At 40.3% G+C, this 23,428-nt stretch overlaps 1 protein-coding gene across 27 annotated transcripts in view, besides 1 other annotated feature; it reads right to left on the bottom strand.

Annotated features, from left to right (window-relative positions):
• EBF1 (EBF transcription factor 1) overlaps positions 1-23,428 on the bottom strand; it is a 403,997-nt gene that overhangs the window by 333,001 nt on the left and 47,568 nt on the right. The gene's annotated exons all lie outside the window — the stretch shown is intronic.
• Positions 11,227-11,306: a silencer, noted in NCBI's record as "silent region_16567". NCBI's record gives its function as "represses an Ori minimal core promoter by ATAC-STARR-seq in GM12878 lymphoblastoid cells {active_cell/tissue: GM12878}" and the evidence as "EXISTENCE:reporter gene assay evidence [ECO:0000049][PMID:35858748]".

The following is a 23,428-nucleotide window of genomic DNA, read 5'->3' on the forward strand; positions in this document are numbered from 1 at the left end:
AGAGTGGGTACTGGGAATAAAATCACAGTTGTTTGCTTTGCAAACAAAATGGAAGAATCAATCATACGTGTTTCACAACCCTAAAGTATATATATTATTTTTGATAGCTATTATCTTTATTCTATAAAGCCTTAAACCAATTGATAAGCAAAATAAGATCTCCATAAAGAATGAATCAATGGGAATGAAATAGAGAAGTCACCAAAAAAGACATATAAATAAAATATGCACATATGGGAAAATGCCCAACCATACTCATAAGAGAAATACTCATGTAAGTAAAGCCCAATTTGAATCTATTAAGTTAGGTAAAAGTAAATTTAATGATAGATACACGATGTTGGCAAAGATTTGAATAAGTGGTATTCTCACAAATAACCAATAGAATCGAGCACTGGAGACTCAAGTTGTTGGAAAACAATTTGACATTATGCATTGAGAGCCATGAAAATGTTGAAGTGTCTGAAGGAGTAATTCTTCTGAGATTTATCCCAAGGCTTTCAAAGTATTTTCTGCAAAGCCCTAGGATTCTGCAGAGGGGCTTCAAGATTTCTGACAGCAAAGTCCAGGGAATGATTATGAAAGGGGAAGAATGCGTGGGGCTATAGGGATTCTACCTCCTGACAACCAGCACAGTTCTGTTGTAGAAATTCAGATTCTGTTTCAAGTTTACTTGAAAAAGAAGTTCTAATAATTTTTTAAAAATCACCCTACTATCTTAAAGAAATGATCCAAATTATAAAAAATAACTAGGCCGGGCACCATGGCTCATGCCTGTAATCCTAACACTTTGGAAGCCCAAGGCGGGTGGATCACTTGAGGTCAGGAATTCGAGACCAGCCTGGCCAACATGTGAAACCCCTTCTCTACTAAAAATACAAAAATTAGCTGGGTATGGTAGTGTGTGCCTGTAGTCCCAGCTACTCAGGAGGCTGAGGCGAGAGTATCATCACTTGAATCTGGGAGGCAGAGGTTGCAGTGAGCCAAGATCACACCATTGCACTCCAGCCTGGGCAACAAAGAGCAAAACTCCTTCTAAAAAAAAAAAAAACTATAAATATGAATATGTTCATCAGTATTATTTGTAAATAATAGTTGAAAATGAAAAAACCTCAATTTTCAACAATAAGAAGGTAATTTATTATCCATTAAACCTAGGCTATGTAGAGACACAGAAAAAATATATATATACTTTGTTTTACATATATATATATGAATGTAAAACAAAGAACACAAAATTGTAGTTGCAATATCATAATTTTTTTAAAATGTAGAAGTGCACATGAATTAAAAGTGCAATAAGATGATTATAATTGGATTATGGGGTCTTTCCTTTTTTATGTCTTTTCCAATTTTTCTGTAATGCAATTAAATTACTTTTCTAACCTTTTTTTAATGTTTAAAAATAACCCTTGATGGCCAGGGGATGGTATATTATTATTCATCTCTACATCCCAGCATAAGCAAAGGAGCTGGCATAAAAGAAATACTCCACAAATATTTGTTGAGTAAATAGATATACTTTTAATTAAAATCTGATCATGAATGAAGCACTAGAGAGAGGCAGGACAGATTCCCTCCAGAGGAGCTGGAGAAAGCCTCCTGCAGAGGCGAGCCTTTGTGTGGATCCTTACAGGGACAACAGGATCCGATCTGAGCGGAGGGCCAGGTGGGAAAGGCAGCCCTGCAGAAGGAGCAAGGGGAGCAAGAAATTGGCGATGAGCAAGTACTGAATGTGTCTGGGAAAGAGAAAGAAGTCTGGGTCGCAGAAGCATGGACACTCCTGAGCACATTAAAGGAATATAAGGCTGAAAAGGTGAATTTAAGCCCACAGGCCAAATAAGTCAAAGCAAGAGGGTTCCAATGAATGTGAGCCACAGTGACATGTTCAGAACAGGACTTTATGGAGAGTAGCATGGCTGTAGTGTGCATGATGGGCTGGTTGTGGGGCCGTGAAGTATGAAAACAGTAGCCGGGCATGGTGGTTCATGCCTATAATCCCAGCACTTTCGGAGCTCGAGGCAGGCGGATTACCTGAGGTTGGGAGTTCAAGACCAGCCTGGCCAATATGGTGAAACCCCATATCTACTAAAAATACAAAAAGTTAGCCAGATGCAGTGGTGTGTGCCTGTAATCCCAGCTACTCTGGAGGCTGAGGCAGGAGAATCGCTTGAACCCGCGAGGCGGAGGTTGTGGTGAGCTGAGATCATGCCACTGTACTCCAACCTGGGCTACAGAGCGAGACTTCGTCTCAAAAAAAAAGAAAAGAAAAGAAAAGAGTACAGCCCAGGGACAGGCTGGGATGTGGAGAAGAGGTCAGGGGCCTAAACAACATTTGGAGCTGTCGGAATTTATAAAAGAGGATCACCAACTAGAAAGGGATCCTGTATGTGGAATTCTTTAACAACATGTCCAGAATCCACTAAGACAGATAATCTGTCCTGAAAAAATCTGGACATTTGGGGGAAGCAGTAACCCCCTCCTCACCTCCCATCTCCACCAGGCTTTCTTTAATGCCCAGCATATGCATATGCACCTCCAACAACGAAAGCCTCCTTTCTTACACGTATTTACTAGCAGTCCCAAATGTTTCCTGTGCTATATAAAGTCTACATTTGACTTCAACTGGGGAAGTGAAGGATGGAGCTGGGAGAAGGGGAGGAGGCAAAGTCTGTGGCACAGTCACTAGCACATCTCCAGTTTTAAAATCATGCATTCAGTCTGAAGCCCAAATCGAAAGGTCGCAAACTCACATAAAGCACCGGTGATTTAGAGCTTGCTCCTATACACAGTTCAGCAATGCGTGGAATGTAAAAATACATGGAAACCACAACACAGCAGGGCTCTCGCTGCGCTGCTGGCAGAAGTCTCTGTTTCCCACACAGGCCCTAAATCTAACCCAGCAATGAAACTTTTAAAATTTGTAAAAATAGAACAGTTGGAAAATCTTCACCACTTTTAGTTAAAATATAAAACAAAACCCGCCATCTTTTGTGGGTGCAGTTGCAAATCAGCCACACTCCTCCCGTCTTCGAAGGAATTTTAATGATAAAAAAAAATTTTCAAATGTTGAACTATGTATTTCTTCTAGGTTACCTGGTGAATACATTCTTGGATGCTCTGGTATGTGTAGGTTGTTTTCAGTTTAGCATCTCCACCAAGAAGAGTCTCAAAATGTCCAGTCAATATCAACAGGTGTAACAAATGCCCTGTTTAATTTTCTGAAGAATAACAATAGAACAACTACCACTTATTTATACATTAATTTGTGCCAGAATCATCTCCTGTAATCCTGATTCCTAAATCCTCAGTCCAAAATCCTGTGAGTATAGGTATGATTATCTCCGTTGTACAAATGTAAAAAACAGAATAATTTACTTAATTTTTCCAGGTACAAGTGGTAGCCAGGATTCAAACCCAGGGCCATCTGATTTCAAAGACTAGGCCCTTTCCATTATATTTATTGCATAGGAAGGGATTTCCCTCACCCATTCAAAATGGTTATATTTAGAAATCAAGACACGCCACTGGCTCCTCGATCAGCTCTTAGTTTCCTTGGACTATTACATAAAGCTGCATAAAACCGAGTGATTATTTCTAGCCTCTTCAACAGATCTCTTTTCTATACATTGTTATTCTTAAACATAGGCAAATCCTGTGCCTTATGGCAGATTCCGGGTTACATTATAGAAGAATTCTATGGAAACATAAACCAGAGTCTGTCTGTCTCCCTATCTCTCCGAAACCACCCTCTCCCTTCAAAGCATCTCACTAATATTTATTTTGGAATTGTCATGAACAGTATTATGACATTGGCTTCCTTAAAAATTTAACATTCATGATTAGCACTTGAAATGAGTATATCCAAAGAATGTATTTTGCTCAGTGCTTACAACCAAATTATCTCAAGAGGCTATCAAGAGCTCTCAAGTCATTTTGTTAACTATGTTCTCTATTTAAAGGAGCCCCACACAGAGAGAAGGGAGGGGAAGGAAAGCAAGACTTAAAACCTTGCTTAAAAAAAAAATCAAGTATTCTATTCTGTCTCTCTTTCCCTCCTCTACCTTCTCCACCCTCCCACATCCGCCCCCACCCCCAAACTAAATATAGAGACCAAACACCAAAACCCAAACTTGAAAATTTCCAAAATGATAATCAACAAATCATGGTAACATGGAACACAGAAATTAAATGTAATGCCCAAATTCACAGGAGCAGCCGCCTGGAAGCGGGAAGTGGGGTGCACCTGAGCATGCTTTAGGAAGTTCTGCACACGTTTACCCGCTTTGCAGCCATCCCTTCCTTCCACTCCGCAGCACAGGAAAGGCAGATTCTGAGCATAACTCCAGAGCCCCAGCTTTTCCTACCATTAATCGTAAGATTAGATCCTGGATACAGAAATGCTAAATGATCAACAAACATAGTTAGCTCTGAACTCAAATGAATGTTTTTTTCCTTTCCCTTTCATTGAAGAGAGGGGAAAAAAAGCTTCACATGGCTTCCTTTCCTTGACCTACAACAAATTCCATTAAACCTCAAAAACAATGCTTTGAGATGCTAGAGGATGCAGACAGGAAACTGAAGAAAGACTTTACACAAAAGTTAAAACGTCTTTTTCGGAGGGAGTTAAGGAAGGGTTGTATCTTGACAGTGAGAGCTCATGGCAACTGAGAACATAATTAGATTTGAATGTCATGTAGTTGTGCCTGGGATGCATAGCACATCAAAACAGATTTACTGCTCAGAGTAACAGAAATGTGCAAATGCCATTGGCTGGTAAATAATTAATGATTGCCCCAAAGTTTACAAATGCATAAAATGCCCTACAGATAAAATTCCATCATATTTTCAAGTTACTGAAAATTAGCTTTTTTTCTGGAATAAATATCAGTTATCTGTCCAGGATTGATTCCTCTTTAAGACCAAAAAAGTCTTCATTCTACCCAACGACCTCCTACACCCCTTTGTCTCCTGGGACATCTAATTTATGGGTGTTTAATGTAATAGGGTAAGCTTTCCAAAAATGGTGTAATAAAAATGGGCTTAGATGTCATCACTATTATTACATCTGTTATTATAATATGTAGTGTTTGCAGTGAAAACCAGGCTTGCATCTATATTTCATTGGCATCCATACATTGAGGCCATCTTGAAATTTGACTCAAAGGACTAAAATTCAACATCAAAAAAACTGCTTCAAAGGGATATTCAGCATTGATTTTATTGGGCTTATTTTGGGGAGCACTCAAACTATGCTTTTTTTGACTTGTTGGCCCTAAAATGCAAGAAGGGTTAATCTTGATTGCAAAATCAAGAAACAAAGATACAGGCCTATTGTGCAATAAACAGCCCACATTTCAATGAATAAGTAATATTTCTCACAAACCCAAGTTAGATAGTGGATTTATTTAACCTCTTGGGGTCAGGTAATAAATACTAAGTGAATTATTCAGCCCAATGGCTAATCAATACAATTCCATGATATATTTTTTGTGTTTCATAAAAGGTTGTACACTAAAGGCAGTGAGCAATTATGGAAATTGGGCCAGAGCGCCTCTCAATTCCTCTCTGGCTTGAAACCCCAGCAGGCCACCTTGACAGCAAATCGATTAGTGCTCCAGTGAAGCGGCTCAGTGACCCCTGACCTGCTTCCAGCGAGGCCTGACAGAGGAGAGAGTATTTTATATTTATTTTATTGAATTAACTCCATCTTGCCTGTACCATCGCTTTACACACATTAGGCAGCAAGCTACAAGCTACTTCATTGTCGTTGTTTTCCATTGCTCTTGCTAACCAAGCCCCACCCCTTGCCCTGCAGATTTCTTTGTCCTGGTTTTCCTTTCACTTTTGGCCTCAATGCAAGATTTCAATCCACCCTGAGACTCATGATGGAGCTCCAGGTAATAAAAACCAAGAGCAAGGCACAAGATCCTGCTGCCTGATGCTTCCTGCCTACCTTGTCCAACCAGGACAATGCCCTATCCCCATTTTTCCCCTCATGTTGAGAAACAAAGACCAGTCAATAAAAATCTGGCTTCACATGGTGCTCTTTGGAAAATATATGCAAGAGAACATCAAGGATTAGGGGTATTTCCTACTAGAAAATCAAAAAATAAACCAGAAGCCACTGGTTTTCTCTATTTTTGTGGCCTAATTACATTATTGACTGATTGAAGCCATCAGAAACAGGGGGAAAGAAAGAGAAAGAAAGAGAGAGAGAGAGAGAACGAGAACCAAGGCAGCTGAGTTTAGACCACCATTTCATCAGGGGAGCAATAAATCCAAAGGCTCATCAGCCATCAGTGACTGAAAGCTTACAAGAAGGGAAACATCTCTAAATCACCAAAAATTTTCTGTTTTACTTCTGCTAAATGGAACATTGGTAAAAAATAAAAAATAAATAATAAATTAAAAAAACACCAAAATAAGTGAAAAGTAAATGCCAGGAAGAAACCAAGAGTTTTAAAGTCAGAAAATCTATTTGGCAGCTCTAGATGTTAAATGATACCAAAGGTTAAGTTATCAGCAGAAATTTGACGTTATAAATCACAGGATTGAAGGATCTTGGACCATATTTGAAGGAGGCAGTACAGAGTGATGGTTTCATACTTAGAGGCTGAAATTAAACTACCTGGATTCAAATCCCAGTTTTTCTACAAACTAGCTGTAGACTTTGTACAATTCATCCAACCTCGCTAAGCTTCAGCTTTCCTCACCTATACATAAGGATGACAACAGCTGTTGTCACATAAGCAATGTTGACTGACATTATCATTTTTATCAGATCCCAAATTATTTTATATGGGTAGGCAAGAAATCACTTTTCAGACTTGTTTTATGAATGGAGAGGCTGAAGAATGTGAGGAAACAGAATTTGCCTTCCAAATTATTGCCCTTCCCAGGGTCATGCATGCACAAAAGTATTGTGATAATCACTCACTCCCTTAAAATCTCCTTTTGGGGTTCGAAGGACCTTGAACTTTACCATTAAAAGATTCAGTCCTTGGGTTGATCTCCCCAAAGATTTAAAAGGGAAGTTCTCCTTTCCTGACCCCCAGTGGTGGGGGACATGAAACTATTTCACTCTATTCATATCACCTTGCCTTTCTCAGGAGAGACTTGGTTCTTAGGGAATATTGGCTTCATGGGTGCAGAGTAAGGGATAAAGTTTGTGATGCAGGATAAAAGACTGAAGACAGTGATTGAGAGATCAGAAGAGAAGAATTTCAGAGTTGCACTTCAACTGCTCAATTGTCGCATCAGGGATGGGTTGGCACTTTTAGATACCTTGCTTCTGATAAGAAGATCAGCTCCTCATTTACAGATTCAATGCCATCCCCATCAAGCTACCAAGGACTTCCTTCACAGAATTGGAAAAAACTACTTTAAAGTTCATATGGAACCAAAAAAGAGCCCACATCGCCAAGTCAATCCTAAGCCAAAAGAACAAAGCTGGAGGTATCACACTACCTGACTTCAAACTATACTACAAGGCTACAGTAACCAAAACAGCATGGTACTGGTACCAAAACAGAGATATAGATCAATGGAACAGAACAGAGCCCTCAGAAATAACGCCGCATACCTACAACTATCTGATCTTTGACAAACCTGAGAAAAACAAGAAATGGGGAAAGGATTCCCTATTTAATAAATGGTGCTGGGAAAACTGGCTAGCCATATGTAGAAAGCTGAAACTGGATCCCTTCCTTACACCTTATACAAAAATCAATTCAAGATGGATTAAAGATTTAAACGTTAGACCTAAAACCATAAAAACCCTAGAAGAAAACCTAGGCATTACCATTCAGGACATAGGCATGGGCAAGGACTTCATGTCCAAAACACCAAAAGCAATGGCAACAAAAGCCAAAATTGACAAATGGGATCTAATTAAACTAAAGAGCTTCTGCACAGCAAAAGAAACTACCATCAGAGTGAACAGGCAACCTACAACATGGGAGAAAATTTTCGCAACCTACTCATCTGACAAAGGGCTAATATCCAGAATCTACAATGAACTCAAACAAATTTACAAGAAAAAAACAAACAACCCCATCAAAAAGTGGGCAAAGGACATGAACAGACACTTCTCAAAAGAAGACATTTATGCAGCCAAAAAACACATGAAAAAATGCTCATCATCACTGGCCATCAGAGAAATGCAAATCAAAACCACTATGAGATATCATCTCACACCAGTTAGAATGGCAATCATTAAAAAGTCAGGAAACAACAGGTGCTGGAGAGGATGTGGAGAAATAGGAACACTTTTACACTGTTGGTGGGACTGTCAACTAGTTCAACCATTGTGGAAGTCAGTGTGGCGATTCCTCAGGGATCTAGAACTAGAAATACCATTTGACCCAGCCATTCCATTACTGGGTATATACCCAAATGACTATAAATCATGCTGCTATAAAGACACATGCACACGTATGTTTATTGCGGCATTATTCACAATAGCAAAGACTTGGAACCAACCCAAATGTCCAACAATGATAGACTGGATTAAGAAAATGTGGCACATATACACCATGGAATACTATGCAGCCATAAAAAATGATGAGTTCATGTCCTTTGTAGGGACATGGATGAAATTGGAAATCATCATTCTCAGTAAACTATTGCAAGAACAAAAAACCAAACACCGCATATTCTCACTCATAGGTGGGAATTGAACAATGAGATCACATGGACACAGGAAGGGGAATATCACACTCTGGGGACTGTGGTGGGGTGGGGGGAGGGGGGAGGGATAGCATTGGGAGATATACCTAATGCTAGATGACGAGTTAGTGGGTGCAGCACACCAGCATGGCACATGTATACATATGTAACTAACCTGCACAATGTGCACATGTACTCTAAAACTTAAAGTATAATAATAAAAAAAAGAAGATCAGCTCCTCTCTCAACCCCTCCAAGCTTCCTTATCAATAAGGACCACTGCCACCATCACATTTGCCACATCAGCCATCCTCTGATCTCCTAGGGAAAGAGGACTGGGGTTCAAGTCAATTTGCAGGGACTGTTTCTGCACAAATACCCATACCTAGGTTCGTGTGCAGTGCCAGAGTGGCAAGAGAGGCTGGCTGCCAAGGCTATTTTTGAAGAACTCACCACACTTCTCTGGGATACTGTGAAGGAAATGTCTTGATTTTGCCCCATATCTTTCCTTGTCCTTTGCAATCCCAGAGATTCAAGACCATTTCATTTCTTATCTCGGCAGTCCTTTCTCCCTAAACTCACGGCCCACCATCACCATGACAGACAGCAAAGCAATCTCACCTTTCTCTTTAACCTATAAGCTTTATGGCAAAAAGATAAAACACCATGGGAAACAGTGGAGGGAAATGAGGGGGGAAACCCACCCTACTCTGACCTTGCCCTGCCTTCTCCATTCTGCATTTAGGTAACAGCCCAGATATTTTACACTTTTAGAACCAATGAAAGAGACTTTTTATGTATACATTCTCCAGTCGAGATGGACCTACCTACTCATATCAAAGGGAGACATTAAGACTCACGGTCAAAACAACTTAAAAAAAATCAAATGCAGGGTGGCACTAGTATTTCCATACAGGAGGAGAGTATGGGGGTGAAAGAAATTAGCAAAGAGGCCATGCCTCACAGCAAGCAAACACACATTAACTTAGACTGCATTTAAGAAGGCCAGTGGGTAGCTGATAGAGACTATGGAGAGTGGGGATCAGACCTCATTCCTAAGCCATTCCTTGGTGTAGTGCTGATCACCTCATAATATTTGCGCTGTTTTGGGCTGCCTGACCTATTAGCAAGACTATCAACAACACTTTGAAAGTTCCCCTTGATCTAGTGTCTGAGCACCTAATTGCTGTGGAAGTCTCAGAAATTCCACCCTAACTCTTCCCAGGAGGGCTAATGGGATGGGGTAGAAAGAGATCCTGGTTCAGATGCCCACTAGCTGTAGGATCTCGGACAAGTAGCCTCTTTCCTGGGCCCCCATCTACAAAATGGAGAGGCGATTTCCTTCCAGGATAAACATATGATTCAAAGTGGTGTTTATCTGATGTGTGAGAAGCCTGAGATGGAATGTTTACTTCCTTTAGAAAATTGGAATTTAACAGCCAAAAGAGTCCTTTTTCCTCTGAAGGAATAAAAAAGAAATCCATTTACTCAATCTGCTAACCCCAAAACCAAAACAAAGAGTCTGTGGTATAAATGAGTTGGCCAAGATGCCTGCACGTGCTGGCTCACAAGTCAGCCCTCTTCCCTGAGTCATTCTGCAAAATGGCACAGCAGATTCCTCTGGGTCCGTCAGAAAAGAAAATCTTTTACACTTTTGTATAACTCTATGCATTAAACCATAAATTATTATTCCCCTCTCTTCTACTTTCAGAATCTATACAAAAGTGATTACCTCAGTCATTTTTCAACATTACTTTCATACTTGGAAAATGCATTTTCTAAAAGTTATTTATTTTTCACAGCATGTCAGGTTGTTATATTGTACTAGTTAAAATAAAACTACTATATAAACTACTGTCTACTTTTGCATGCATTACATTTCCCTACAAATGCTGTGAAGCAGGATTTTCACAGGGCCTAAATATATTTATCTGAAATATTACATTATACTTTATTTTAGCACCATTCCAGATTTTAAGAAAGAAAGAAACAGGAAAGCCAGTTGTTAAAGTAACTTCGCTATTAAATAACTTTTTTATTTGGAGTTCCCCATTTCAGAAGAAAAATTATTTAAATATTAAAAGCGGTTTTGTCATGAAACTTAAAACCAACACATACTATTATTCCTTCTCAAGGGCCCTGGGAAGAGCTAAAAATGTCCCATTGGATTTGATTCATGCTCACCTAAAAGCAAGACTTGGGCAGGGAGTAAAACAAGTAAGGAATAAAATATCGAATGAGTACAGACCACCATTTCTAATAATGAGGTCCCCAGACCCTTGATATACACAGCTAGGTTTAAAATATTTTCTGGAGTACCTCTAAAAGGTGACAAAACTAAACAAAAGCTTTGCTTGAGGTAATCCTAAATTTTATGCGTAAAATTGTTTTTTGCTCAAATGTAATATTAACCATTCTCTAAAGCACTGTGAATTTCTTTAAAATGCCACCTCACTTAAAGACTCCACAAACACAAAAGGACGTAGATCCATTTGTAACTGTAGTGGTGAGGGTCCTGCAGCTGTGAGTGAGGGGTGCTTGCTTGAGCATCAGCCAAAACAAAGCTGACCCTGGCCAGTAAACCTAAGGAAAGTGCCGCACACCAGCACCACACTGGGCTTAGAAAATGCTGCTCTCAGGCTCTCTCTGTCGCTGAGTGAGAGGCAGAAAGAGGAAGCGCTTAAATATTTAATAAATGATTCTGCAAAGGCTTTTGAGCCTTGGCATGAAGGGTTTGAAAGCACTATCTACTTTACATCCATTGAGGCCACCACCAAAATGGCTATGATCCAGATTACAAGCGACTCAAGAAACTAGTTTTCCTTCCCTTTTTCTTCTTCTGAAGCTGAGTTGGCAGTGGCCTATCTTGAAATCTTTCAGAATTGCTTTAATCTTTCATTTTAGTTTCGTCTGAAGCCACACTCATGTCCACCCTCAGTGCCCTTGGTGTTGCCAGGCCTTGAGTCCTGGAAACAGGGAAAGCATCCTTGGAGAAATACAGAGAACAAGAATGGAGAAAAGAAAACAAAGATTTTTTTACATATGTTTTTAACACAGCCAAATTTAACCAAAGTGTGCTCCCTGGTAGTGCTTTTAACTAACAAGCAGGCAATATATTGCACTGTAAAATGTTTTATTTTAACACCTTACAGGTTTAGCTCTGTGGCTGTTGCAGGTATATCCATTAAAAGCAACACAGACTATAAATCAGAATTCCATACCTTTTCACAGCATATGAATCTATTCTCCTGCTGGTAAGCACATAGCTTTCACTGATGCCGATGGGGGTGACATATACTCATGTAGGGAGAATAGACCACTCTCTACATGTGAATTTATGCTTTTAGACAGGTGGCTGTATGTAGACAAGAGACACCAATAAACAGATTTTATAGTAGCTGTTTAGAAACGGATTCTGTGCTACATATCTACAGAGGAACAGTCATCTTTTCCAAAGAGAAATACAGAGGCAAACCCTTGGCAGACTTACAATCCACAGTTCAGTACACCACAATTTGGTACCCATCGTCACACACATCAATGGTCATTTGAACTGAGCTTGACCAATCCCCAATGCCTTAATAAACTAACAGTATTTCTGAAATTCCAATTATGCTGAATCTAACTCATCCCTGCTATGAAAACATAGCAAACACTGCATGGAAAAGGCAAACGTTAACTTTTTAATGTTCTGTGTCATATACATACCTACCTGAACACAGGGTGCAGATTCTCAGAGGAATAGGTTTTTCATGAAGTAGAAATCTTTTAGATCACTGCTAAAGGGACTCATACATTGGCTTTAAGGGAATATATATACTTCTTACGTTTAAAAAAATAAATACTAAAACAGCCTGTCGCGTATGGATTCTGTGTGGTTATTTTATGTATTTCATTTCTTTGAATGACATTTACTTTGATTTTCTTTCTGCATTTTAGTCACTTCTAGAAAGGGATCCCAGGAATAATGCAAATTACAAAAGCAGATGTAGAAAATATTTTTTAAAAGCAGCCTAAATTTCCATAATTTACATTAGATATTCACACCTGCACAGAGGTTGACATTCAGCACATGCATCTAGCTGTGTGTGATGAACACAGAGCTTTTACCAGAATAAAATGTCTATTTCTAGAGAAATCCATAAACTAGAAACAGACCAGCTCCTATATTTAGTTCCTTCCTGTACTTCATTTTAAAGACGCCTCCTAGAAGATATTGGAAGGGTCAGCTCACTGTTATTTACTGCACCAAATATTGCTTATGATTGACACTGTCATGTCCGTGTGTTGCAGAGACTTAAAGGCCATGACGAGATTTAACTACTCACTTTTGCTTGCATGGCTGTGGTGGAGGAAACCACAGAATACTGATCTATCCAAAAGAGAAAAAAATTAGAGAGAGTGTCACAGTGGAATTTATGAATGAGAGTGCTTTGGCTGCAAAGCATTCCCATTATAGCCCCTCAGCCACCACAAAACTGCTGTGTAATTGGAAGGGAACTTTTTCCCATGCAAAAAAGCTTGCTGTCGGCGCCAACCCATCAAAGCCATGGCATGGAGGGATGCACACCTGCAGGTAGCCTACCTCATTCATGGGGATCCTGGTCCCTGCCTGCATCTTCTGCTCACAAAGGGATCTGGATCTGAGAAGATCAGATCACAGAAGCAGGGAATGAGGACGTGGCAAACCTTGACGGTCCTTTCATCCACTCAATTCAGAGGTGAGGAAACTGAAGCTCCAAAAAAAGCAAAATAAACAAGTCCCAGGTACATAGCCCATCAAAGGCAAAGCCTGGACCCGAAGCCAGCCTTTCTCTTGCATCCCAGCCCATCCATATATCTAAAAGCTGACCCTATTTCAGTGTTTATTTACCTAAAACTATGATCAATGAATTCAAATATCCTAAATGTCATTCTGGCTGGGAAACAATAAACTTCCTCCAAACCAGTTTACACATATTACTGTTTTCCCAAAGGAAAAAAAAAATTCTTTGCCTGTGTGTGTGTGTGTGTGTGTGTGCATGTGTGTGTGTATGTTTTGGCTCCCCAGCAACAAAAACTATATTAAAGCTTAAAATAATTACCTCCTTTTTCAGTTACTTAAAAAAAATCCGTCTTCTAAAGACAAGTGTACCATAGCCCTCCTACTTATTAATATCTTAAATTTTAAAAAGTCTAAGTTGTTAAGTTCTGTAGAGTGTTCACAAGTTTGGATGACTTTATAGCATGTGTTACATATATTTTATTTTTATTTACCAAACATTCACAGTAAAAAAAAAAAAATAAAAAAGTTAAATAGGATGTCATGACAGGGAGCTACTAGGTAGCTGCTTAAGGTTAGGCTTCAGGAAAGCCCTCTTAAAAAATATCTCTGGAAAGGATAAGGCCTGATTCACATAACTTATATTTTATCATAGGTGAAATAATAATAGTAGCTGATATTTATGAAGCACCTACTGTCTAATTGAATCAGGTACCTATAGAATGTATTGTTTCAACAACACCAAGCAATCCAGCAGGATGGATGTTGCTTTCTCTATTTTGCAGACAAAAACTCCAAGTTCCAAAGAGATGAGGTTACTTTTCCAAGGTCTTATGGCTAGTTAGGAACATTGGAGGCTTGGAACCCTTGTCCATCTGACTCCAGCATGTATGTTTGGACTCTAAGGGGAAAATGCAGGCATAAGAGATTTGCTCAGTTTGATCATCACTTCACTGAGGACACATTTCCAGAACCCTCAATAAGCCAGTTCTTCTCCCTGGCATATCATATCATCCTCCTGCCCTTTCCTTCATAGCACCTAAAACAATTGTAATTTTACCTTTATTTATGTGATTCTTTGAATGACTGTCTCTCCCACTAGACTGTAAAGTCTATGCAAAGTCTACAACAGTCTTCGCTTGGTACATAGTAGGTGTCCACTGAATGAATAAATGACCCACTACTCCAAACTTCAAGCCAGGAGAATTGGTATCACTGTCTTATTATTCTAGCCAGATCTGATAACAACCACAATTTAGATTCAAATTATGTCTTTTATTTAAACATCTCAAAGCAAGATAAAAATAAACAGCTGGAAATAGCTTGCAATAAAAGAGAGAGAGACCAAAATAAGTTTAGGACTCTGCCAAAGGTCTTAATGGTAGCAACAAAACCATAAATGTCTCTCGGCACTTCATACGTCATGAGGGCTTGCAGATGGAAATAATATCAGTATCCATTCTCTGCTTCTGCTTCGGCTCACCAAGACACTACTCCAGAAAAAGGTGATGTGATTTATTCTGCATTCTATCATTCTGAATCTTCTATTAACTGGCACTTGTGCAGTCACAGTACAATGATAAATGATAGTCATAATTGTGACCCTAATTCACAGCAAGTCACCAAGGTATCTCTGAATCACAGAAAAATGTCACTAGGTGAGAAGTTCTTTGAGAGATGGGAACACTTTATACAATTCCCCCAGGGACCTTATACAACACCTAATTGTTGAATAAAACTGTATTGATCATAGCTATGTTATTATATCTAAAAATGATGTTCTGTGTATATCATATGAAGAAATTATCTATTAACCAGAATGTTTAACTACATAGAATACCCACTAATGTTTGTTAAGAGAAATTTAATTCATCTTAAGTGTAAGTGATGACAATCTTAGCAGAGGATATTGGGCCCAACCTCCTATTTATTAAGCAACAAATTACATTATTGGAAACACTGGGCTTTTGAAGGACCCCAAGTTAATGCAGGTGTTGTGGGGGTTGTCGCTATTGTTGTTGTTTTAATCTACTAAAAACTATTGTCTGAATACTTAAATTTTCATATAATTAAACAAACCAAAACTATAAAGTGTGTTCTGTCTCACAAGAGAATCCTAGCTGGTGTGTAGGAGTGGAGGAAGTGGACTCAGGACAAATAAAAATTCACTGCATTTTTAACATATAAACTAATCATTCCTCTCTCTTCCAGTGTAAGTCACGAGGCAGAAAATACATGTGGAGTATGTACATTGCCACAGAGTATTCATATAACATAAAAATTAAAAGTAAAATTATATTCTTCTAAAGTGCAGGTCCCCAAGATTTTTCTCTCTGAGTCAAATAAGTAGTCTATTACTCACTGTTGTTGTCATTTATTCAATTATACGTAGTGTTAACTAAGTAGTGTAATATAAAGAGTGTAGTTATTATGACAATATTTCCTTATCTCATCTATTTCATATCCCCTTTCTCTCATTCATGTATATTTGTATATTTCTAAAGTAACTTCTTAAGGATCACAAGGGAATTTGTTAATTTCTATAAACAAAACCACAGGAAAAAGAAAATCTTCAATGTACCAGAGCTAAAAACAAAGATTCAAAAGAAGGGGAAAATATTAAACAACCTTAAGACCTTACCAAATACATTTAATCCTTTGAATAACTGTATAAATATTTGAGTGTCTTTTATTTATGTTTTCCTCCTTTTATTATAAAGTAAGATAGGCTTTATGAAGTAGTCCTTTAAGAAAAAAGGAAAAAAAGAAACTTTGGTTCATTATTTAACTTCCGAAAAGCCAACATCAAAGGTTAGATTTTTGGCATTCAAGATCAGATCATTTGTAATTTCTTCTTTTTTTAATGTTTTTTAAATTTTCATGTGGAGAAGAATCAGAGATCTCAAGAATTCTTATCTGGAGGCCTCTCTTAGCCAAGCTGAGCTGATGGGAGCAACTTTTTTGTGCCAAAACGCAGAAGAGAAGTTATACACAGTTCCTCCCTCCCTCCTTTTTTCTCCCCTACGTACACCCACTTTCTGACTCAAAATGAATTTTTTTTTCCCCTTGTATTTAAAAGAAGAAGAAAAAAAAAAGAATCCTTGTCGTATTGGAAGTGTGACATTACAATTCATTGCATTAAAAAAAAGATCTGAAACTCCCAAATTTACTTAACAAATCCACAATGTTTATTTAGGACCAGGGTGAGGGGTGCTTCCTATTTGCATATGGTATCCTGTGAATTTACTATATGCATAATTTTTAGGTACTTAATGAATGATTCAAATAGAAACAGAATTAGAATGCAGACAATGACAGTCATGACACTCAGGGACAATGAAGTAGGATGGAAGTCCAAAGCTGTTTGGCTAAATCAAATTGTGCATCCTAAAATCCAATTTCTATTGAAACTGCAGGAGCTTGAGATAAAGTTGTCATAAAGTCTTATCAAGATTAGTCAAGATAACATGAACATTAGGAAGCCATATTTAGATCATTCCAATTCTCCCATCTTCCCACCACAAAAAGGACTGGAGGAAAAAATGATCCAGACAGTTCACCTTGATTCTCTTCTCCCTCAGCTCCCCATAGCCTATCTGAGCTTTGTTCCCTGCCCACTGCCTTCTAGCTCTGCCACCAGTAATGACCAAGACTTCATTATCTCTGGGCCATTACTATCCCAGTAACTTCCCAAATTGATCTCCTTGCCTCTGGGAACTGTTCCCTACAGCTCTCCGTATATTCCTCCAAGTCTAACTCAAATATCCCTTCTCTCTAGCTTTCCATGACCCCCACACAGAATTAATCAATTCCGATACAGGTGCCCCTGACACTCTGTCCCACCATTTAACCATCTTATCAGTTACTCTTGGTTTGCATATGACTATGCCTCTCAGTGCACAGACCCTCGAGGGTAGAAAATGTCTGTTTCACTAGCATATGAGCAATAGCATCTCCCACAAAACAGGCTCTCAATAATCTTGTTGAATTGAACCCACTAGGTCTACTGGTGAATTTTAGCTATTCCCATAATTGTGTCGACTTGTGCAATGACAAAAATCCTACTTATTAAAACATTCTACTGTAACATAAGCGGAATGTGTAAGAGCCATGGGCCTAAGTGGAGTGGTGGAAGGGAAGAGACCTCAAATAGGCCAAAGCATCATTTCAAAATCCTTTTCTCAAAGAGCACATTAAGTAGAAGAGACAGCATGCCAGGACTGGAGACTCAAGCTACTAGTGAGCGTCTTTCTTTTTTTAAACAGGTGCTTATTGAGTTGTACACTCTGCTACAGATTAATGATTCAGAGACTAATAAGATGTGATCTCTGCCCTCCAGAAAACTGGTGACAAAGACATAGTATGGAGGGGTAAATCTGAGAAACCTAAGATTGGATAAGATTCATGACTGGCAGGATCAACAGTGTTCTGAGTAAAGTGGGTGGAGGGAGCCCGGCTCTGTAGTGTTTGCCAATTTCTATGGTGTAAATATCCCCACTATGAATGACTTCAAGCTACCAATGTGATATCACTGAACAGAGCTGGGAAAAGATTCACTCAGTTGGTTCTCATGAGTCCACATAAGCCAGCTACAGCACAACACTGGACAGAATCCGTACCCTCCACAGCCACAAGCTACATTGCTTTTCATCCAATAACTCATTCAATAGATATTACTGCGTACCGAGTGTCTGGCACTGTGTTTATTATTGAGTACTGAGTGTCAGGAGGAATAGAATAGTAAACAAACAACCACAGCTCCTGGCTGCATGGGGCTTAGAGCATCCTATGCTGGGAACTGACCCAGCTGGGGAGTGAAGGTGTCTCTGAGAACTGAAGGGAAAGGGGCTAGAATCTGACGGATGAATTGAGCTTCTCAGAGAGGAAGGAATGTCCGTGACAGAAGCAATGGGAACAGCAGATGAGTAAGAAAGTTGGCTTTTATCCTAAGAACAATAAGGAGCCACTGATGAGTTAAAGGCTACAGAATGTCGTGATCAGCTTCGAATTCTCAAAAGCTTACTTTGGCTCCTATAAGGAGAGAAGGGTCTCTAGAGAAACCAAAAGATTGCAGAGACACCAATCTGGAGTTAAGGCAGGAGTCAGGTGGCAGAGTTGGGGTGGCGCAAAGGGGACAGAGCTGAGAGATAACTAGTATGGCTGACAGAGATGGGGGAGGGGCAACAGCAAGGATGACTCCTCGGTTCCTATAACTGAAGGGACAGAGAAATCCATCAATAATAAGGAGGAAGATGAATTCATGTTTTGACATTGAGTTTTCATCCACATGAATTTTATGTTCCCCTTTGTGTAAAAAGACTCCCTACAAAAGAAAACCCATACCTCTTCTCATGCCCTTCAAGGTCCTTCACACATCAGCCCCAACCCTTTTGTACCCATTGCCACATACCCCATTACTGCTATTTCCCTCCCACGGGGGTATAACCTTTCCAAAACTTTTAGTAAATTCATAGAAGCCTGTCTGAACTTTTTCTCTCACATCCCCCATCAAAGTCTGCTTTCTGATCCTTGCTTCTTGGAAGGACACATGTTCAGCATCTTACAGAGCTGCCCAACCCAGAACTGTCTGCATTTCAGACAGAAGAAAAACCTCCAATCATGTCTCATTCATCTTTGCATCACCTGGACCTTTCAGGAGATAGGCACTATATTTTCCACATGCTCCATGTGGAAATACCTTATTCTCCAGAGCAAAATCATAACACCTGGTCCAACAGCATGAACACTCTTAGGGAAGAAGACAGAATGGTCTCCAGACATACAATGAGCACTCAACAAACATTTGTGGTATATGAATTTGTGCACTTCTTGATGGACTCAATGAAGAATCACCAGATGCCTCCTACACCCAAGTACGCAGTAGGTACTCAATAAAGAAAAAAGGATGGACTATCAAGCTTCCCTCCCCATAGGAACTTTACACTCAGCTTCTATAACAGATGCATCTGGTGCCTACCTCACATCCCTGTGTCCCACCTCTGACTTCAGCCACATGTCTGACCCTGACCACAACCTGCTATGTCGTGGCTTCCTTCCACGGCATGCCAACTCTGAAGCAGATGCCCAGCCTGCACACCAGCACCCTGGGACAGCCCTCAACCAAGAGGGGACAGGTGCCAGGAGATAATGCTCTAGCCTCTTGTACTTCTGGAGCCTGGCTCTAGGAGGCACATTTTACTCTGTCCCTTAGAAGATTCCAATGGGACCATGTACCAGCCACAGCAGTGACTCTGATAATACATCACTGCCTTACTTTTTCTTCCTTGCCTTTTTTCCCTCTTCTCTCTCCCTCATTTCCTGCTTCCTAAGATCATGCCCATATAAACTACCTGCATCCAAATCCCTGCTGAAGGTCTAATTTCTGGGGAACTGCAAACTAAGAAAGCCTCTGATCTAAGCCAGCCATTTCAGGATCCACAAGAGACTCTTTCACTCTGGCTGATGAATTCCACACCAAAAACAGGGTGAGGGCCGTTCAGCAACTTTTCAGTTCTGTTGTTCTCTGAGGACATCTGTGGATGTTTTCAGTGGAAGCAGTACACAGTAAGTGCTAAATACACATGTCTTCCAAATTAAATCCAGGTAAAAATCCAGCTTCTTCACAAGTAGTAAAAAGGAGGTAATAATGTACATGGCATCCCAAATTATTCATTTTGTCACACCATTCCCCTGCATTCGTCAGGATTTCATTTGGCTCCTTTTTCCAACCTTAGCCCAGCATGCTAGCAGGTATTTATCAATATATTAAATGCTACTTAAACTTCCTAAAATGATCCCAGAACAGTAAAGGGGAAAAAAGCTTCTGATTTAAAGCTAAACATACACAGCTATCCATTAGCATGACAATGTCTGCATTTTACTTAGACATTGCCATTAATAATGAAATGATGTATGATTTCCACTCCAGCAGCTCTTCCTTCCTTGCACAATCAATTATACATTTAAGAAAATACTTAGTGGATAGAAAGCTCCTCTAATTAAGCATCACTTGAGGGAGCTTGTGAGATTCTTAAAACTAGAAAAGATATCTCAGAGAAGTAGGATGGTGGAGGGAAAAAAAATCCACTCAAAATGTTTGAGTCTTGATTAGACAAACTCTCAGGCATTCTGAACCACTATGAAAGGAAAAACTCACACACACATATATTTTAACCCAATAGACTTTGAGGCGAACTAAATATTCTGCAAAATGTAAAAACTTTCTCTTTGTTCCAGCTAAGAAGCCAGGACTAAATTGAAATTAGATATTTTGGTTGAGATCCAGCCCCAGCCCCAGAATTGCTGTCCCTTTTTTGTCTTCCCTGTCAAAATCATTGAGGAGTTAAGATAGTTGGTTCTTCAGAACTCTGGAAATTGTCCAACGTTAGAATCAAATAGAAATAGCATAAGATTTCCCAGAAGGCAAAACAAGGATGGTTTTCCTCACTAAAATTATTACATATCACATCGTGTTCTTGGGAGGGGTGCTTATCTGGTGATAATCTCCAGAATGATTTTACATCCCGGTTGTCCTACAAAACTAACTCTCTCCGACACAGCACAGCAAATTCATTCAATTTGGTGGGTCCTAACGCTTTCTCTTTCTCTCCCTCTAGAGGCAGAAAATGAAGCACTAAATAAGGTTTAATTTCACGGCATTAAAAACAAAACCAAGGATAAGCCACTCTGACAGGAACAGAAAGCAGGCCTTGGAAGAAGGCAAGGAGTATGTCAAGAAAGTGGATACAGGAGAACCAGGGGACAGCGGGGAGAGAAGTAAACAAGAGGTTCGTTTCTCTTTCTCTCTCTCTCTCTCTCTCTCTCTCTCTTCTCTCTTTTCTCTCTCTCTCCTCTCCTCCCTCTCTCTCTCCTCTCCTCCCTCTCTCTCTCCTCTCCTCCCTCTCCCTCTCTGCATTGCTCTTCCTCTGCCCCTGTATCTATGACTCTGTATCCCTGTCTGTCTCTTCCTCTTGTTCTCTCTTGACTTCTACCCCTCCATGCTTCCCCACCAGGACCATCAGTCCTCCCACAAGGGACTGTCTCCCCTCCTGCCCAGGTGGCTTCTCCTACAAGAGGAGACAACAATAAATTTCCAGGACAATGTACGTGGTGTGGGTGTGATAAACATGTCACCAGAGACAGCAGATGTCCCTTGACTTTAGTGACTTGGCCTTCAGAAGCCCCTCCTTTCTCCAGCTCCCCTGGGCCCCTGAGTCTCAGTCATAGCTCTCAGAACTTTGGTCAACTGTGCTAGGCCACCAGTTACTTTCTGCACACAGGCCATAAGCATGTTTGTAACATACTTGTGCATGAACTCCCTTATAAGGGTTGACTGACTCCTGCCTCCGTTCATCCTGCTAGCCAGTCTGGCTGGGTTCAGCCAGGAGCCCTCCTTCCCCGCCAAGGCTTAGAAGCAAACTCAGAAGAAACCCAGCGGCAAGCAAGAATTGCTCCCGGAGGGAGTAGTGGGTACAAAGCTGGGTGCCTGTGCTCTTTTTAATTCCCCATTCTGGCAAAAAGAAAACCTCAGGTCTGACTTTAGAGCCTTTGACACATAATTGGTAGCCAATTTTCCTAAGTGGTGAGTCAATTTTCTGCTTGTGAAATGTAACTTTACCCTGGTGAACACCAGGCCCCAGGGTTTTCAGTGTGGCTTAACAGCAATTATACGAATGTTAGGAAGGGGGGAAGTGTTAAAGTCCCTACATTTACATTTGTTTTTTATGTTTTTACCTCTTAAAGGGATAGGAGAAGTCTCCTAACCAAGTAACCTATGAAAAACTCACCCAAAGACAGGCACAGGATATCCTGGGAAGGAAAACCATTTTGAAGCCGCACCACAAAGGGTTCCTTTTTTTTTTATTTTAATTCTCAAATATTCTCACAAGTAGTGAGATGTCACGGGGAGGGCACAACATTTAGAGGTCAAGGCATCCTTTTCCTGGTTCCCCTTGGGCTACTTTCTTTGCTCCCACCCTGTCCCCTCTCTCCCCTCCCCAGCCCCCCAAACAAATCCCCCGGTGAGCGCTAGGCCCCGCCTCGGGCCGCATTCCCTCCCCCTCCCCCCCGCTCCCGCAGCCCCCCACCCCCCCACCCCGCCGCCCGGCGGCTGACGGCTCCCGCTCCACATGTGCGACTCGTGTTTCGGCTTTCGCTGGCGACAAACTGGAGCCGGGGCCTTTCCGCTTAGGAGGAACTCGCTACGTGTCGCTAACAACAACACAAACACCGCCGGCCCGGCTCGGTGCTCCGCTGCCCACAGTGCGCTCGGCACCAGGGCTGGATTTATAGCAAGGAGCCCCGACTGTAAGAAGTAATTCATGAGTCCCCACAATGCCACTACTGAGAGGCATTCAGAAGGGGGGGCAAGACACGGGGTGTTCCTGCTCCGTGGCCTCCATCCCAGCCGATCCCGCTTTGCAGTTGTGCACAATCACAATCGCAGCCAGCAGTTTGCCCTCATTCATTTTGCACTTTTTCTTAATAGAGTGGGAGAAAGTCATCTCGGCCACCACCACCCTTTTATCACAATTTGTTGAAACCCCAAGAGGCTTAAAATACGTTCTTTTGCCATTTATAGTTGTAACAGTATTACATACAAATGTGTACACAAATCTGCGTGGTGCACACATACGCACAGGCTCATAAGACACACGCAAAAAAATTATTATTATTATGGGCTCTTCTGGAAGATTTAGTATATTTGTTTCAGAAAGACGTAAGAATTTTAATAAAACTAAACCTTATTTGAGAAGTATCTACCATGAACGCAATTTTGGAAAGGTGCAATAGGAACTAAATAACTGCTGTTAAAAATCATTTAGCTGAGAAAAATATGCATGCTAAGAATTCCACCAAAAAAAAAAGACATTGTATGCCACGTAGGTATATGTGTATTGCTTAGCAGCCACAGAAAACCTCCTATCTCAAATCAAAGAGAAAAACACTACACGTGAAAACTATCCTTTGGACGATTAGACTCCATTCCAAAAGATA

Source organism: Homo sapiens, chromosome 5 (assembly GCF_000001405.40).
Source record: "Homo sapiens chromosome 5, GRCh38.p14 Primary Assembly".
In the NCBI taxonomy this organism is placed as follows: domain Eukaryota; kingdom Metazoa; phylum Chordata; class Mammalia; order Primates; family Hominidae; genus Homo; species Homo sapiens.